The sequence below is a fragment of the Homo sapiens genome, chromosome 1, assembly GCF_000001405.40.
Source record: "Homo sapiens chromosome 1, GRCh38.p14 Primary Assembly".
Taxonomy (NCBI): Eukaryota; Metazoa; Chordata; class Mammalia; order Primates; family Hominidae; genus Homo; species Homo sapiens.
Window position 1 is genome coordinate 175,995,163 of NC_000001.11, and position 19,630 is coordinate 176,014,792.

Below are 19,630 nucleotides of genomic sequence, written 5' to 3' on the forward strand. Positions count from 1 at the left end.
TGAAGGCAGAAATAAAGATGTTCTTTGAAAACAACAAGAACAAAGACACAACATACCAGAATCTCTGGGACACATTCAAAGCAGTCTGTAGAGGGAAATTTATAGCACTAAATGCTCACAAGACAAAGCAGGAAAGATCCAAAATTGACACCCTAACATCACAATTAAAAGAACTAGAAAAGCAAGACCAAACACATTCAAAAGCTAGCAGAAGGCAAAAAATAATTAAAATCAGAGCAGAACTGAAGGAAATACAGACACAAAAAACCCTTCAAAAAAATTAATGAATCCAGGAGCTGGTTTTTTGAAAGGATCAACAAAATTGATAGACCACTAGCAAGACTAATAAAGAAGAAAAGAGAGAAGAATCAAATAGATGCAATAAAAAATGATAAACGGGATATCACCACCGATCCCACAGAAATACAAACTACCATCAGAGAATACTACAAACACCTCTACACAAATAAACTTGAAAATCTAGAACAAATGGATAAATTCCTCGACACATACACCCTCCCAAGACTAAACCAGGAAGAAATTGAATCTCTGAATAGACCAATAACAGGCTCTGAAATTGTGGCAAGAATCAATAGCTTACCAACCAAAAAGAGTCCAGGACCAGATGGATTCACAGCCGAATTCTACCAGAGGTACAAGGAGGAACTGGTATCATTCCTTCTGAAACTATTCCAATCAACAGAAAAAGAGAGAATCCTCCCTAACTCATTTTATGAGGCCAGCATCATCCTGATACCAAAGCCTGGCAGAGACACAACCAAAAAAGAGAATTTTAGACCAATATCCTTGATGAACATTGATGCAAAAATCCTCAATAAAATACTGGCAAAACGAATCCAGCAGCACATCAAAAAGCTTATCCACCATGATCAAGTGGGCTTCATCCCTGGGATGCAAGGCTGGTTCAAAACAGGCAAATCAATAAATGTAATCCAGCATATAAACAGAACCAAAGACAAAATCCACATGGTTACCTCAATAGATGCAGAAAAGGCCTTTGACAAAATTCAACAACCCTTTGTGCTAAAAACTCTCAATAAATTAGGTTTTGATGGGATATATCTCAAAATAATAAGAGCTATCTATGACCAACCCGCAGCCAATATCATACTGAATGGGCAAAAACTGGAAGCATTCCCTTTGAAAACTGGCACAAGACAGGGATGCCCTCTCTCACCACTCCTCTTCAACATAGTGTTGGAAGTTCTGGCCAGGGCAATTAGGCAGGAGAAGGAAATAAAGGGTATTCAATTAGGAAAAGAGGAAGTCAAATTGTCCCTGTTTGCAGATGACATGATTGTATATCTAGAAAACCCCATCGTCTCAGCCCAAAATCTCCTTAAGCTGATAAGCAACTTCAGCAAAGTCTCAGGATACAAAATCAATGTACAAAAATCACAAGCATTCTTATACACCAATAACAGACAAACAGAGAGCCAAATCATGAGTGAACTCCCATTCACAACTGCTTCAAAGAGAATAAAATATCTAGGAATCCAACTTACAAGGGACATGAAGGACCTCTTCAAGGAGAACTACAAACCACTGCTCAGTGAAATAAAAGAGGATACAAACAAATGGAAGAACATTCCATGCTCATGGGTAGGAAGAATCAATATCCTGAAAATGGCCATACTGCCCAAGGTAATTTATAGATTCAATGCCATCCCCATCAAGCTACCAATGACTTTCTTCACAGAATTGGAAAAAACTACTTTCAAGTTCATATGGAACCAAAAAAGAGCCCACATCGCCAAGTCAATCCTAAGCCAAAAGAACAAAGCTGGAGGCATCACACTACCTGACTTCAAACTATACTACAAGGCTACAGTAACCAAAACAGCATGGTACTGGTACCAAAACAGAGATATAGATCAATGGAACAGAACACAGTCCTCAGAAATAATGCCGCGTACCTACAACTATCTGATCTTTGACAAACCTGACAAAAACAAGCAATGGGGAAAGGATTCCCTATTTAATAAATGGTGCTGGGAAAACTGGCTAGCCATATGTAGAAAGCTGAAACTGGATCCCTTCCTTACACCTTATACAAAAATCAATTCAAGATGGATTAAAGACTTAAATGTTAGACCTAAAACCAAAAAACCCTAGAAGAAAACCTAGGCAATACCATTCAGGACATAGGCATGGGCAAGGACTTCATGTCTAAAACACCAAAAGCAATGGCAACAAAAGCCAAAATTGACAAATGGGATCTAATTAAACTAAAGAGCTTCTGCACAGCAAAAGAAACTACCATCAGAGTGAATAGGCAACCTACAAAATGGGAGAAAATTTTCACAACCTACTCATCTGACAAAGGGCTAATATCCAGAATCTACAATGAACTCAAACAAATTTACAAGAAAAAAACAAACAACCCCATGAAAAAGTGGGCGAAGGGAATGAACAGACACTTCTCAAAAGAAGACATTTATGCAGCCAAAAAACACATGAAAAAATGCTCATCATCACTGGCTATCAGAGAAATGTAAATCAAAACCACAATGAGATACCATCTCACACCAGTTAGAATGGCAATCATTAAAAACTCAGGAAACAACAGGTGCTGGAGAGGATGTGGAGAAATAGGAACACTTTTACACTGTTGGTGGGACTGTAAACTAGTTCAACCATTGTGAAAGTCAGCGTGGCAATTCCTCAGGGATCTAGAACTAGAAATACCATTTGACCCAGCCATCCCATTACTGGGTATATACCCAAAGGACTATAAATAATGCTGCTATAAAGACACATGCACACATTATGTTTATTGCGGCACTACTTACAATAGCAAAGACTTGGAGCCAACCCAAAAGTCCATATGTAACTAACCTGCACAATGTGCACATGTACCCTAAAACTTAGAGTATAATTAAAAAAAAAAAAAAAAAAAAAAAAAAAGAAAATGTGGCACATATACACCATGGAATACTATGCAGCCATAAAAAATGATGAGTTCATGTCCTTTGTAGGGACATGGATGAAATTGGAAATCATCATTCTCAGTAAACTATCACAAGAACAAAAAACCAAACACCACATATTCTCACTCATAGGTGGGAATTGAACAATGAGAACACATGGACACAGGAAGGGGAACATCACACTCTGGGGACTGTTGTGGGGTGGGGGGAGAGGGGAGGGATAGCTTTAGGAGATATACCTAATGCTAAATGACGAATTAATGGATGCAGCACACCAGCATGGCACATGTATACATATGTAACTAACCTGCACATTGTGCACATGTACCCTAAAACTTAAAGTATAATAATAATAAAATTAAAAAAAGAGAAAAAAAAGAAAAAAAAATAGAACCATGGATTAACAGGCATTCAGAAAATGTTAAAAAATAATTATCTTCTGTGAATGGAAATATATTTAAAAACTAAATCTGTATATAGCATTTCAGGACTTCTGCAAATTATGAAATCTTTCATCTAGTACCAGGGTTATTACATCCATTTAGGATACTCACAGATAGTTCATAATGTACAATAGTCCAGAGATGATTTTACCTTTCTGGTGTAAGTTAATTAAAATTTGGAAGGAACTCATTTCTCTTCCCTCATACACATTTTTGGTGTATTCAAAAAACATAAGGTAATCCTAGGTAGGATAAGGTAAAGCCTAGGTAATCATTTGGAAATATTTTGTGTTCATTTCAGTGCCTGTTAAGCAATAATGGAATGGAACTTCATTGAGTGGTACTGATTTATCAGATTACATGGCACACTCAATTCCACTCATGTTAATGATAAAGATATGCTCCAGTACTTGCAAAGCAGAGCACAACTGATGGGTTTCTATGACTCTCTATTTTGTTTTATGTCTTTCCATTTTAAAACACATCAGCGACTTAACTGAGCATTGTGGACAGTTTTCAACCCATGATGGTATGAGAAAGTAAATGTAGCATCTAATAGCAAATAAAAAATTAAAAATAAAAATGTACAATTAAATTATTATTGACTATAGTCACCTCGTTATGCTACCAAATACTAGGTCTTACTCATTCTGTGTATTTTTTGTAGCCATTAACCACCTCTACTTCCCCCAACAGCCCAAGTACCCTTCTCAGACTCTGGTAACCATCCTTCTACTCTCTATGTCCATGAGTTCAATTGTTTTCATTTTTAGATCCCACAAATAAGTGAGAATCCGTGACGTTTGTCTTTCTATGCCAGGCTTATTTCACTTTACATAATGATCTCCAGTTCCATCCATGTTGTTGCAAATGACAGAATCTCATTCTTTTTTTTAATGGCTGAATAGTACTCCATTTTGTATATGTACCACATTTCCCTTATTCATTCATCTGTTGATGGATACAAAGTTTGCTTCCAAATCTTGGCTACTGCGAACAGTGCCGCAAAAAACATGGGAATGCAGATAGCTCTTTCATATAGAAGTTGCCTTTCTGTTGGGTATATACCCAGCAGTGGGACTGCTGGGTAATATGGTAGCTCTAGTTTTAATTTTTTAGGAATCTCCAAACCAATCTTCATAGTGGTTGTACCAATTTACATTCCCACCACCACTGTACAAGGGTTCCCTTTTCTCCACATCCTCACCAGCATTTGTTTACTGCCTAACTTTTGGATAAGTCATTTTAACTGGGGTGAGATAATATCTCATTGTAGCCATGATTTGCATTTCTGATGATCAATGATGTTGAGCACTTTTACATATACCAGTTTGCCATTTATATGTCTTCTTTTGAGAAATGTCTATTCAAACCTTTTACCCATTTTAAAATGGATTATTAGATTTTTTTCCCTACAAAATTGTCTGAGCTCCTTATATATTCTGGTTATTAATCACTTGTCAGATGAGTAGTTTGCAAATATTTTCTCCCATTCTGTGGGTTGTCTCTGCACTTTGTTGACTGTTGCCTTCGCTGTGCAGAAGCTTTTTAACTTGATATGATCCCATTTGTCCATTTTTGCTTTGGCTGCTTGTGGGATATTACTAAAGAAATTTTTGCTTAGACCAAAGTACTGGAGATTTCCCCCAGTGTTTTCTTGTAGTAGTTTTGTAGTTTGAAGTCTTAAAGTCTTTAATCCATTGTGACTTGATTTTCATATATGGTGACAGACAGAGGTCTAGTTCCATTCTTCTGCAAACGGATATCCAGTTTTCCCACTGGCATTTATTGAAAAGACTGTCTTTTCTCCAGTGTATGTTCTTGGCAAGTTTGTCAAAAATGAGTTCACTGTAGGTGTGCTATACTTTTATTTAACTGGGAGCATAGAATTGTTTACACTAGTATCACTGTAAACATGTGAGTAATGTCTGCACTATGAAGTTATAATGGCTATGACAACATTAGAAGTTTAAAATTTTTTACCTCCATTTTAATCTTATGGGACCACTGTCATATATGTGGTCTCTCACTGATTGAAATGTCATTATACACTGCATGACTCTACAATGTAAATATTTTTAAAAAAATGAAATCCAAAACACATCTGGTTCTCAGCATTTTGGAAAAAGGGTTCTCAACCTGTATATGGTAGAATTTTTACATGCAATGTTGCTTTTTTTTTTGTTATGTCATTTGCTCTTTTATGCCTCCATTATTACCTTACTTTGTGTTATACAGATATTTTCTAGTGTATCATTTTAGTTTGAGTATATTTTAAAAGTTATTTTTCAGAGTGTTTTTTCTGGGGATTATAATTGGCATGTTAAATTAAAATAACCTAGTTCAGATGATCACTAATTTAATTTCAATACTATGTCAAAATTCTGCTGCAATATAGCTCCATCTCCTTTCCTCCCCAACCTTTGAAACATTATGGCCATACATATTACATCTTTCTATGTTACATGTTCATCAACAATTTTAGAATTACTATTTTAGTCAATTGTCTTTCAAACCCTTTCCAGTTTAGAAAAAAGGAAGTGCAGCTCACTACCAAAGCGCATTTAATTTTACATGAACACTCTCTTCAAGGCTACTGCAAATCTGACTGATTTTTACTGTGAAAATAAAATATAAAACTCTTCTTGGGAGTTATTTCTAAAGAGAATTAACATCAGAATTGTCTGAATCATCAGAAACATCTATTTCAAAAAACCTGGATTCATCGAATGAACCTCTAGGCATCAAGTATTTGAGTACGATGTTAACATCATGCATAAGAATGCTATGTTTTCTAAGGATCTGACATTTTCAGCGATTGAGTATAGTAATTCTCTGTCAAATTTTCTCGATTTTTGTTTGTGTAAATGGAAATACCACTACTAAAAACAGAATGCTATGGACAGAATGATGTCTTTTGTTTCCAAAGTTGATATACTACAGTGATGTAAAAATAATAATAAAAGCGAGATATTTCGTGGCAAAGTTATCTCAGGGTAAACAACTGCAGCCGCAAGTGCCACCAGCAAGTATTCTCAGGGCAAATGAGTAAAGGGTAAAATCAGAATAAAAATTCTTTACAAAAAAATTCATCTAAACTATCTTTTTATATACCGATATGATTATCTTAACCAGTTCTCTTTACTACTTTGTGGACTTACATTACAGTCTAGTATCCCTTTATTTCGGCCTGCAGAACTCTCTCTGGTATTTCTTATGGGGTAGGTCTCCTGACAAAGAACTCACTCGGTTTATCTGGGAATATCTTAATTCCCCCTTCATTTTTGATGAATAGTTTTGCTGAATATAAAATTCTTTATTGACAATCTTTTCCTTTCAATACTTTAAACATATCCTACTGCCTGCTGGCAGTAATGATTTCTGACGAGAAGTCATCAGAAATATTAACATTAATCTTAATGAGGATCCCTGGTACTTGCTGAGCAACTTTTTGATTGCCATTTCCAAGATTCTCTTCCCGCCTTTCAAGAGTTTCAATATGATGAGTTTAGGTGTACATCTTATCTACTTGGGGTTTATTGAGCTTTTTGGATGTGTGGATTGATGTTTTCCATCCAATTTGCAAAAATACTGGCCATCATTTCTACAAATATTTTCTACCTCTTTCTCTCTCCTCATCTTTTGGAAATCTACAAATGTTGGCATGCTTGATGGTGTCTCCAGGTTTGTGAAGTTCATTTTTTCTTTTATTCTTTTTTCTTTGTATTCTTTACAATGGATAATCACAACTGACCTATCTCCAAGTTTACTGATTCTTTCTTTTTTAGTTTTTATTTATTTATTTATTTTTATTATACTTTAAGTTTTAGGGTACATGTGCACATAGTGCAGGTTAGTTACATATGTATACATGTGCCATGCTGGTGTACTGCACCCACTAACTCGTCACCTAGCATTAGGTATATCTCCCAATGCTATCCCTTCCCCTTCCCCCCCACCCCACAACAGTCCCCAGAGCGTGATATTCCCCTTCCTGTGTCCATGTGATCTCATTGTTCAATTCCCACCTATGAGTGAGAATATGCAGTGTTTGGTTTTTTGTTCTTGTGATAGTTTACTGAGAATGATGATTTCCAATTTCATCTATGTCCCTACAAAGGACATGAACTCATCATTTTTTATGGCTGCATAGTATTCCATGGTGTATATGTGCCACATTTTCTTAATCCAGTCTATCATTGTTGGACATTTGGGTTGGTTCCAAGTCTTTGCTATTGTGAATAATGCCACAATAAACATACGTGTGCATGTGTCTTTATAGCAGCATGATTTATAGTCCTTTGGGTATATACTCAGTAATGGGATGGCTGGGTCAAATGGTATTTCTAGTTCTAGATCCCTGAGGAATCGCCACACTGACTTCCACAATGGTTGAACTAGTTTACAGTCCCACCAACAGTGTAAAAGTGTTCCTATTTCTCCACATCCTCTCCAGCACCTGTTGTTTCCTGAGTTTTTAATGATTGCCATTCTAACTGGTGTGAGATGGTATCTCATTGTGGTTTTGATTTGCATTTTTCTGATGGCCAGTGATGATGAGCATTTTTTCATGTGTTTTTTGGCTGCATAAATGTCTTCTTTTGAGAAGTGTCTGTTCATGTCCTTTGCCCACTTTTTGATGGGGTTGTTTTCTTGTAAATTTGTTTGAGTTCATTCTAGATTCTGGATATTAGCCCTTTGTCAGATGAGTAGGTTGCAAAAATTTTCTCCCATTCTGTAGGTTGCCTGTTCACTCTGATGGTAGTTTCTTTCGCTGTGCAGAAGCTCTTTAGTTTAATTAGATCCCATTTGTCAATTTTGGCTTTTGTTGCCATTGCTTTTGGTGTTTTAGACATGAAGTCCTTGCCCATGCCTATGTCCTGAATGGTATTGCCTAGGTTTTCTTCTAGGGTTTTTATGGTTTTAGGTCTAACATGTAAGTCTTTAATCCATCTTGAATTGATTTTTGTATAAGGTGTAAGGAAGGGATCCAGTTTCAGCTTTCTACATATGGCTAGCCAGTTTTCCCAGCACCATTTATTAAATAGGGAATCCTTTCCCCATTGCTTGTTTTTCTCAGGTTTGTCAGAGATCAGATAGTTGTAGATACGTGGCGTTATTTCTGAGGGCTCTGTTCTGTTCCATTGATCTATATTTCTGTTTTGGTACCAGTACCATGCTGTTTTGGTTACTGTAGCCTTGTAGTATAGTTTGAAGTCAGGTAGTGTGATGCCTCCAGCTTTGTTCTTTTGGCTTAGGATTGACTTGGCGATGTGGGCTCTTTTTTGGTTCCATATGAACTTGAAAGTAGTTTTTTCCAATTCTGTGAAGAAAGGCGTTGGTAGCTTGATGGGGATGGCATTGAATCTGTAAATTACCCTGGGCAGTATGGCCATTTTCAGGATATTGATTCTTCCAACCCATGAGCATGGAATGTTCTTCCATTTGTTTGTATCCTCTTTTATTTCCTTGAGCAGTGGTTTGTAGTTCTCCTTGAAGAGGTCCTTCACATCCCTTGTAAGTTGGATTCCTAGGTATTTTATTCTCTTTGAAGCAATTGTGAATGGGAGTTCACTCATGATTCGGCTCTCTGTTTGTCTGTTGTTGGTGTGTAAGAATGCTTGTGATTTTTGTACATTGATTTTGTATCCTGAGACTTTGCTGAAGTTGCTTATCAGCTTAAGGAGATTTTGGGCTGAGACGATGGGGTTTTCTAGATATACAATCATGTCATCTGCAAACAGGGACAATTTGACTTCCTCTTTTCCTAATTGAATACCCTTTATTTCCTTCTCCTGCCTAATTGCCCTGGCCAGAACTTCCAACACTATGTTGAAGAGGAATGGTGAGAGAGGGCATCCCTGTCTTGTGCCAGTTTTCAAAGGGAATGCTTCCAGTTTTTGCCCATTCAGTATGATAATGGCTGTGGGTTTGTCATAGATAGTTCTTATTATTTTGAAATACGTCCCATCAATACCTAATTTATTGAGAGTTTTTAGCATGAAGGGTTGTTGCATTTTGTTGAAGGCTTTTTCTGCATCTATTGAGATAATCATGTGGTTTTTGTCTTTGGCTCTGTTTATATGCTGGATTACATTTATTGATTTGTGTGTATTGAACCAGCCTTGCATCCCAGGGATGAAGCCCACTTGATCATGGTGGATAAGCTTTTTGATGTGCTGCGGGATTCGTTTTGCCAGTATTTTATTGAGGATTTTTGCATCAATGTTCATCAAGGATATTGGTCTAAAATTCTCTTTTTTGGTTGTGTCTCTGCCCGGCTTTGGTGTCAGCATGATGCTGGCCTCATAAAATGAGTTAGGGAGGATTCCCTCTTTTTCTATTGATTGGAATAGTTTCAGAAGGAATGGTACCAGTTCCTCCTTGTACCTCTGGTAGAATTCAGCTGTGAATCCATCTGGTCCTGGACTCTTTTTGGTTGGTAAGCTATTGATTCTTGCCACAATTTCAGAGCCTGTTATTGGTCTACTCAGAGATTCAATTTCTTCCTGGTTTAGTCTTGGGAGGGTGTATGTGTCGAGGAATTTATCCTTTATTTCTAGATTTTCTAGTTTATTTGTGTAGAGGTGTTTGTAGTATTCTCTGATGGTAGTTTGTATTTCTGTGGGATCGGTGGTGATATCCCGTTTATCATTTTTTATTGCATCTATTTGATTCTTCTCTCTTTTCTTCTTTATTAGTCTTGCTAGTGGTCTATCAATTTTGTTGATCCTTTCAAAAAACCAGCTCCTGGATTCCTTAATTTTTGTAGGGTTTTTTGTGTCTCTATTTCCTTCAGTTCTGCTCTGATTTTAGTTATTTTTTGCCTTCTGCTAGCTTTTGAATGTGTTTGGTCTTGCTTTTCTAGTTCTTTTAATTGTGATGTTAGGGTGTCAATTTTGGATCTTTCCTGCTTTCTCTTGTGGGCATTTAGTGCTATAAATTTCCCTCTACACACTGCTTTGAATGTGTCCCAGAGATTCTGGTATGTTGTGTCTTTGTTCTTGTTGTTTTCAAAGAACATCTTTATTTCTGCCTTCATTTCGTTATGTACCCAGTAGTCATTCAGGAGCAGGTTGTTCAGTTTCCATGAAGTTGAGCGGTTTTGAGTGAGATTCTTAATCCTGAGTTCTAGTTTGATTGCACTGTGGTATGAGAGATAGTTTGTTATAATCTCTGTTCTTTTACATTTGCTGAGAGCTTTACTTCCAACTATGTGGTCAATTTTGGAATAGGTGTGGTGTGGTGCTGAAAAACATGCATATTCTGTTGATTTGGGGTGGAGAGTTCTGTAGATGTCTATTAGGTCCGCTTGGTGCAGAGCTGAGTTCAATTCCTGGGTATCCTTGTTGACTTTCTGTCTCGTTGATCTGTCTAATGTTGACAGTGGGGTGTTAAATCTCCCATTATTAATGTGTGGGAGTCTAAGTCTCTTTGTAGGTCACTCAGGACTTGCTTTATGAGTCTGGGTGCCCTTGTATTGGGTGCATATATATTTAGGATAGTTAGCTCTTCCTGCTGAATTGATCCCTTTACCATTATGTAATGGCCTTCTTTGTCTGTTTTGATCTTTGTTGGTTTAAAGTCTGTTTTATCAGAGACTAGGATTGCAACCCCTGCCTTTTTTTGTTTTCCATTTGCTTGGTAGATCTTCCTCCATCCTTTTATTTTGAGCCTATGTGTGTCTCTGCACGTGAGATGGGTTTCCTGAATACAGCACACTGATGGGTCTTGACTCTTTATCCAATTTGCCAGTCTGTGTCTTTTCATTGGAGCATTTAGTCTATTTATATTTAAAGTTAATATTGTTATGTGTGAATTTGATCCTGTCATTATGATGTTAGCTGGTTATTTTGCTCGTTAGTTGATGCAGTTTCTTCCTAGCCTCGATGGGCTTTACAATTTGGCATGATTTTGCAGTGGCTGGTATGGGTTGTTCCTTTTCATGTTTAGTGCTTCCTTCAGGAGCTCTTTTAGGGCAGGCCTGGTGGTGACAAAATCCCTCAGCATTTGCTGGTCTGTAAAGTATTTTATTTCTCCTTTGCTTACGAAGCTTAGTTTGGCTTGATATGAAATTCTGGGTTGAAAATTCTTTTCTTTAAGAATGTTGAATATTGGCACCCACTCTCTTCTGGCTTGTAGGGTTTCTGCCGAGAGATCCGCTGTTAGTCTGATGGTCTTCCCTTTGTAGGTAACCCGACCTTTCTCTCTGGCTGCCCTTAACATTTTTTCCTTCATTTCAACTTTGGTGAATCTGACAATTATGTGTCTTGGAGTTGCTCTTCTCGAGGAGTATCTTTGTGGCGTTCTCTGTATTTCCTGAATCTGAACGTTGGCCTGCCTTGCTAGATTGGGGAAGTTCTACTGGATAATATCCTGCAGAGTGTTTTCCAACTTGGTTCCATTCTCCCCATCACTTTCAGGTATACCAATCAGATGTAGATTTGGTCTTTTCACATAGTCCCGTATTTCTTGGAGGCTTTGCTCATTTCTTTTTATTCTTTTTTCTCTAAACTTCCCATCTCGCTTCATTTCATTCATCTTCCATCGCTGATACCCTTTCTTCCAGTTGATCGCATCGGCTCCTGAGGCTTCTGCATTCTTCACGTAGTTCTCGAGCCTTGGTTTTCAGCTCCATCAGCTCCTTTAAGCACTTCTCTATATTGGTTATTCTAGTTATACATTCTTCTAAATTTTTTTCAATGTTTTCAACTTCTTTGCCTTTGGTTTGCATGTCCTCCCGTAGCTCAGAGTAATTTGATCGTCTGAAGCCTTCTTCTCTCAGCTCGTCAAAGTCATTCTCCATCCAGCTTTGTTCCGTTGCTGGTGAGGAACTGCGTTCCTTTGGAGGAAGAGAGGCACTCTGGTTTTTAGAGTTTCCAGTTTTTCTGTTCTGTTTTTTTCCCATCTTTGTGGTTTTATCTACTTTTGGTCTTTGATGATGGTGATGTACAGATGGGTTTTTGGTGTGGATGTCCTTTCTGTTTGGTAGTTTTCCTTCTAACAGACAGGACCCTCAGCTGCAGGTCTGTTGGAATACCCTGCCGTGTGAGATGTCAGTGTGCCCCTGCTGGGGGGTGTCTCCCAGTTAGGCTGCTCAGGGGTCAGGGGTCAGGGACCCACTTGAGGAGGCAGTCTGCCTGTTCTCAGATCTCCAGCTGCGTGCTGGGAGAACCACTGCTCTCTTCAAAGCTGTCAGACAGGGACATTTAAGTCTGCAGAGGTTACTGCTGTCTTTTTGTTTGTGTGTGCCCTGTCCCCAGAGGTGGAGCCTACAGAGGCAGGCAGGCCTCCTTCAGCTGTGGTGGGCTCCACCCAGTTCCAGCTTCCTGGCTGCTTTGTTTACCTAAGCAAGCCTGGGTAATGGCGGGCGCCCCTCCCCCAGCCTCGCTGCCGCCTTGCAGTTTGATCTCAGACTGCTCTGCTAGCAATCAGGGAGACTCCGTGGGCGTAGGACCCTCGGAGCCAGGTGCGGGATATAATCTCGTGGTGCGCCGTTTTTTAAGCCGGTCGGAAAAGCGCAGTATTTGGGTGGGAGTGACCCGATTTTCCAGGTGCGTCCGTCACCCCTTTCTTTGACTCGGAAAGGGAACTCCCTGACCCCTTGCGCTTCCCAAGTGAGGCAATGCCTCGCCCTGCATCAGCTCGCGCACGGTGCACGCACCCACTGATCTGCACCCACTGTCTGGCACTTCCTAGTGAGATGAACCCGGTACCTCAGATGGAAATGCAGAAATCACCCATCTTCTGCGTTGCTCATGCTGGGAGCTGTAGACCGGAGCTGTTCCTATTCGGCCATCTTTGCTCCTCCTGATTCTTTCTTTTGACAGGTCAAATTTTCTCATGAACCTCTCTAATGAATTTTTCATGTTTAGTTATGATACTTTCAACAACAGAATTATTTGTTTTTATTTCTTTTTGTTAATATTCTCTATTTGATAAAGTATATTTGTCATATTTTCCTTTAACTCTTTGTGGTTTAATTACCTTTTTTGAATATATTTGTAATAACTAATTACAAATATATAAGCCCTATAGCTAGGATAATTTCTACTAAGAATTTTTCTTGTTTGTGTATACCTTTTTTTACTGAAAAGCAGACACTTTGGAAAATACTATGTGGCAACTGTGGACTCGGTTCTTCCTCCTGGTTTTCTTCCAGCTCAGCTTTTTGCTATTGGCGGTGTTGCTGTTTGTGGTTTAATGACTTCCCTGGGACTAAATCTGTTCAGCCTGTAATTCCTACTGCATGGAGCCACTGACATCTTTAATGAGTTTTTTATTTATTTTTGTTTTTATTTTTAAGTCCAGCTGAGTAGGAGTTGTTCCTGGGTCAGCAACACTTAGCAGTAACAAGATTTCCTTAATGCTTTGCACGATTTGTGTGTATGTTGTGGAATGCTTTCAGAGCTTAAATCTGCCTTAGCCTTCACTTCCTGCTTACACAGAGCTCATGGTCAACCAGAGGTGAAGACTGGGGCTCTCTGCAGTTTTTCCTGGATATGCACACTACACCTGGCACATGTGCATAGCATTCTACAGCTAGGTACACGTCAGAGCTTCTTGACCCCCACCTTTGGCTGTTTTGTTGTCCAGATCTTTGTTTTCAATTTTTAGCTGTGCCTTGATTGCCCAACTGGTACTAGAGTCTGACACAGCTGTGATACTGCATCTGATTATTTTCAACAATACTGTGGGTATCGACAGGTATTTTCCCATGGAGATTTTGAGTTGGGTCAAATAGTAACAATATTCTAATATTTCACAATTCAAAAACATTTTAATACATAATTTCTCAAGTTATTTCATAAGATGAGAATAATTTGGTATTATAAAAATAACATAGTACCATATAATAATATACTAACGTATTCTCATGTTAATACAAAAGGGGTGTAATATGTGAAAGGCATATAAGTAAAGGTTAAATTATGTCCTTGTGTACTGTACAAAAGTTTTACAGTAGCTAAAAATTGCGTACTGCACGAAGGTTTTTACAGTGAGTTATCAAATGACAGATGTTTCTATAGATGTGACAACTTCAAAAGAAACTGTATTGGAGTACTCATAACCAGTTTGGTATGTTGAGTGGTGACTTATTTTCAGCAAAATTATACCAGTTAATCCGATTATTGTTATTATTATGCCATCATATTGTTATTTTGAATTTTGATTTTATATATTGCATTTATTAATAATTAGAATTTGTTCTGAGTTATAGTTACTTAGGAGACAGGGGCATATGAAGATGGTCTACACCTTTACATTTTTATATATATTGTAATAACATTATGATGTTAAGTTATAAGTTTAGGTTACTTGGGGGGGGGGGGTCCGCAATAATTTTCTTTCCTTTATAAAGGAGGGTATGTCTTTATATTTCTGAAGCATTGCCATAACTGAAAAAGTATGCTTAATAATGAGGAATTAGGGTACAGTCAATTACTGTTTTTCCTTTTTCCCTTTTAGCTTTGAAAAAAATATCCAGTCTGCAAAGAAGCTGAAAGAACAGCACAATGAATAACCTTGTACCACTTGTTCTAGACTCACCAACTGTAAATGTTTCACCATATTTGCTTTACCCACACCCCAAACACACACCGCCTCTTGTCTCTCTCTCTCTCTGCCCCCTGTACCGCTGAACCACTTTAAGTTTCAAACATCAGGATATTTGACTTTTAAAAACTTCAGCCTCTACCTTCTACAAACAAAACCTTTCCTATGTACACAATATCATTATATCACACTCAAGAAAATTAATATTGATATAATATACAATGCATCCTATATTCAGATATCTCCCAACTGTTTAAAAAAGGGCCTGAATATTTATTAAGTTTTTACTAGTGGGTCACTCATTGTATTTAGTTGCCATGTCTCTGGCCTATTATATAAAACAATTCATAATATTGTTATATTTGAAGCATTCAGGACAGCTGTTTTGCACATTGTTCCACACATCTGAATTTGTCTAAATGTTTTCTTATTATGTTCAAATTAAATGTTTTTGGCACAAATACTATAAAGGTGATGGTCCTTTCTATCACATCAAAAGAAGAGGCACATGTTTGTTCCAATGGTGATGCCAAATTTGATTACTTAAATGACCTTCTGGCCTTTTCAGTATAAAGGGAATCTGTCTCTCTTATTTCAGTTGTTAAGCCAAATGATGCTATCTCCACAGCCATTAAGAAGAAAACAAACACATCTTATTTTTTATGCAGCTAAATGTCAAATGTCGGTAACAAAAACCATACAAATACTTTAAGCCAACAAGATGAATTAATACTTGACTCTTCATAGAAAATCAATGCTAAATGACAAGGTGATATCAAAAATATCACCATTTATAGAAATAAAATTGTCTATATTAACATTTCCTCAGTGGTGGTAGGAGCCTGAGGACAGATTAAAGTACATTTTTAAGGCTAATTTTTAATTGTGAGGAACAGTGAAAAGAGAACTTTAATCTTTCTTAATATTCCCCTTTAAACATGCTTTCTAATTAAAACAGATTTTAGTTTATCTCAGTTTTAGTTGATATCTCAAAGTTTTTGTTGGTGTGAAAAACAAAATAATGTGGTGGCAGTAATTCAAAACCTGTACTTTATAAAATTAGAATAGTGCTGTCCAGTACAGTAGTCACTAGCCACATGTGGTTATTTAAGTTATATAAAATTAAACTAAAACTTACTTTCTCAGTAGAACCAGCTACATTTCAAGTGCTCAACAGCCAAATGTAGCTAGAACTAATACTGCAGTTCTATTTGACAGTTTTGATAGAAAATAACTAAACCAATGAATAATCTACAAATATGTATGGTGTAGTAAGTAGAAATTCCATTTCTATTAAAGGGAGGAAAGTAACCGAAATAGAAGAATAAACTCTAAGTACTTAAGATGGTTATGTTCACATTCACTAATTATGTGAGTTAATCTTCCCTTTCTTACTTTTTTCTCATTAATGTACTCCATAAACCAGAGAGTATGCTTATCATACCATCTTAACAATCAAATCAATCTTTCTAGACAATGTGAGATTCAAATTGTCCAATTACTCAAAATGTGAGCTTCAAAATAGTAACTGTTTTATGGCTAGAGAGAATTTAGAAATATAACACACATAGACATTTATTATAATGCACTTATATACAGTCACATGCCAGATAATGACATTTCATGATGATATATGATGGCAGTGCCATAAGATTATAATAGAGCTGACAAGTTCCTATCACCTAGAGACTTTGTGCCTATTAGTAACTTTGTACACATTATTCTAAGTTTTTGGTCATTCTGGTGTACACAAACCTACTGCATTGACAATAAAATAAAAGTATAGCACATACAATTACATACTGTATACAATATATGATAAACAACTGTGTTACTGGCTTATGTATTTACTGTACTTTTTAATCATTATTTTAGAGTGTACTCCTTCTATTAATTAAAAAAAAAACTGTAATACAACCTCAGGAAGCTGGGCACAGTGGTGTGTGCTTGTATCCCAGCAACTTGGGAGGTTGAGGCAGGAGGACTGCTTGAGCCCAAGAGTTTGAAGCTGCAGTGTGTTAACACTGTGCCTATGAATAGCCACTGTACTTCAGCCTAAGCCATAGGTTGGAGAACAGTGGTGCAATAATGGCTCACTGCAGCCTCGACTTCCTGGGCTCAGGTGAATTTCCCACCTCAGCCTTCCAGGCAGCTGGGACTACAGGTGTGCACCACCATGCTCCACTAAGTTTTTGTGGAGCTGGGGGTTTCACCATGTGACTTGGCTGATCTTGAACTCCTGAGCTCAAGTGATCCACTCACCTTGACCTCCCAAAGTGCTGGGATTATAGATGTAAGCCACCGCACCCAGCCAAGCTAAGTGTTATTACAAAAGAGTCAAAAAGCTTAAGTTTTAAAGTTAATGAAGTAAAAAAATTACATTAAGCTAAGGTTAATTTATTACTAAACAAAGAACTATTAACAAATAAATTTAGTATAGCCTAAGTATACAGTAATGACCTAGGTCTTCATATTCACTCACCACTCATTAACTCACCACAAACAACTTCCAATTCTGCAAGCACCATTCATGGTAAGTGCTCTATAAAGGTGTACCATTTTTTTTTTAACCTTATATTGTATTCTTACTGTAGCTTTTCTACATTTAGATACACGAATACTTACCATTGTGCTATAATTGGCTACGGCTTTCAGTACAGTAGCAAGCTATACAGGTTTGTAGCCTAGGAGTATTAGGCTATACTATATAGCTTAGGTATGCAGTAGGTTTGTGTAAGTATACTCTGTGATGTTTCCACAATGACAAAATCTAATGACACATTTCTCAGAATGCATCCCCATCCTTGAGCAACACGTGATTGCATTATGTAGTCCCTAGGTATCCTCGGGGGAACTGGTTTCAAATCCCCATGCCCTCCATACCAAAATCCACGGATGTTCATGTTTCTTTTACAAAGTGACCATAGTATATGCTTATAACTTCCACACCTCCTCCCATATACTTTAAATCATCTACAGATTACTTATAACACCTAATACAACATAAATGTTGTATGTAAATAATTGTTATACTGTATTTCCAAAATTTATCTTATTTTTTATTGTCATATTAATACTTTTCTAAATGTTTTTGATCCAAGGTTGGCTAAATCAGCAGATGCCCAAGGGTACAGAGGGCTGAGTATGTAACTCATCCCAAAAATATATGATTATAGTAAGAAAAGAAAATACGGTTCAGAAATTTACTTAGCTAGGGGGAAAAACACAAGATGATGATGGGTTCTAAAATAAGAGATAACTGGAATATAATCTTGTAATTTAAAATTTTCCATTTGCTCTTTGTAGTATCTTATTTGGTCTTAATGAATCATTATAAAGAATATAAAGGATTTAAGTTTCATTTAATGAGCAAACCTACTTGGTTCTCCTTCCTGCTATAGTTTTTCTCCTTGTATAATTTCTCATTTCTGTTACATTAGACTATCATAAATAAATTATTTCATTATAATTCTCTTTGGACTGAAATAGTTTACAAAGACTACAAATGTATTTCAACTCACCATATAATATGTGAAAAGTCAAAATTAGACACAGAATTTTAACTGAAGTATGAGAAAATGTTTCATATATTATTTATACAAAAGGACCTTTTATAGCTGGTATACTTATAACCTCACTATTACTAACACAGTGTTTTACTTTGAAAGCAGTGCTTGCAGAAAAAATTAAAATTCCAGACTTATTTAAATACGTGCACATGTAAAACTATCAAGGTTATTCTAGGAAAGTACCTGTGGCTTTTTTAGTTAAGACACTGCCAAAAGTATGTATGTTTTACAGCTGTATGAAAGATTACTCAGCCCGATTTTATAATCATTGATTAAGAGTTCATTCCAATAAGTGCTCTTTTAATTTTGGGGTGGGAACACTGATTAATTATATGAAGCTATTTCTCCATTCCTTCAAAATATACAAAGTATTTGTATTTTATCTTCATGTTTTTGGTGGAGAATAAAGGGTGCACAATGAACTTTCATTTGCAGAAAGCATGCAGAATTTGATTTGAGGTGAAAATAGAGAACAGAAGAAAACAGAAAGTAAGAGAATACATCTGACTACTGAGATCAAGTGGGAAGCTGCGCTTACATTTGAAAGGCTGCTTTACAGACTTCTGCTCCTGGACCCCACCCAACCAATTCCTACACAATCATCAGTGTGTCAAGCACTGTCTACTCTCATCAATGCAAGTTCAGAGAAAGTGATTCTGGGTGCTAAATTAGCTACTTAATCATTTATTATTTCAACAGCACAAGTTATGCTGCCTAGTTGCAACCTTTATCTCTATTAAATGGAAGTCATTCATTTATTTGAAAACTATTCTAATTATCTGTTAGAAGTCATTACCCTCAAAACAGGTGGTTACATTCTGTAATTACGATTTCTTTAAGGCTATATGGACATTTAAAAAATAAAACTATCTGCTAAAGACTGAGTTTCATAATAAAATACATGTTTTTTTAAAAATTAAAATCTAAGGGTCCTAAATGAAACTTCACCTTACTTATCACTCTCTGAATTTAAGAAGCTTACAACCTGAAATCAAAACTCTATGTTGGCTTTGTATTCCGAAAACTTTTGCAAAAAAATTAGGCAAAAACCAATGTGTGTGTATGTATACATACATATATATGTACACTATACATATATACACACTATATT

General features: G+C 36.9%; 1 protein-coding gene across 31 annotated transcripts in view, besides 1 other annotated feature; it reads right to left on the minus strand.

Annotated features, from left to right (window-relative positions):
- The window catches only part of COP1 (COP1 E3 ubiquitin ligase), a 262,456-nt gene that overhangs the window by 50,332 nt on the left and 192,494 nt on the right, over positions 1 to 19,630 (minus strand). The gene's annotated exons all lie outside the window — the stretch shown is intronic.
- Positions 12,403 to 12,904: an enhancer, noted in NCBI's record as "H3K4me1 hESC enhancer chr1:175976701-175977202 (GRCh37/hg19 assembly coordinates)". NCBI's record gives its function as "activates a minimal SCP1, AML or CMV promoter by ChIP-STARR-seq in naive H9 embryonic stem cells {active_cell/tissue: H9 hESC(naive)}" and the evidence as "EXISTENCE:reporter gene assay evidence [ECO:0000049][PMID:30033119]".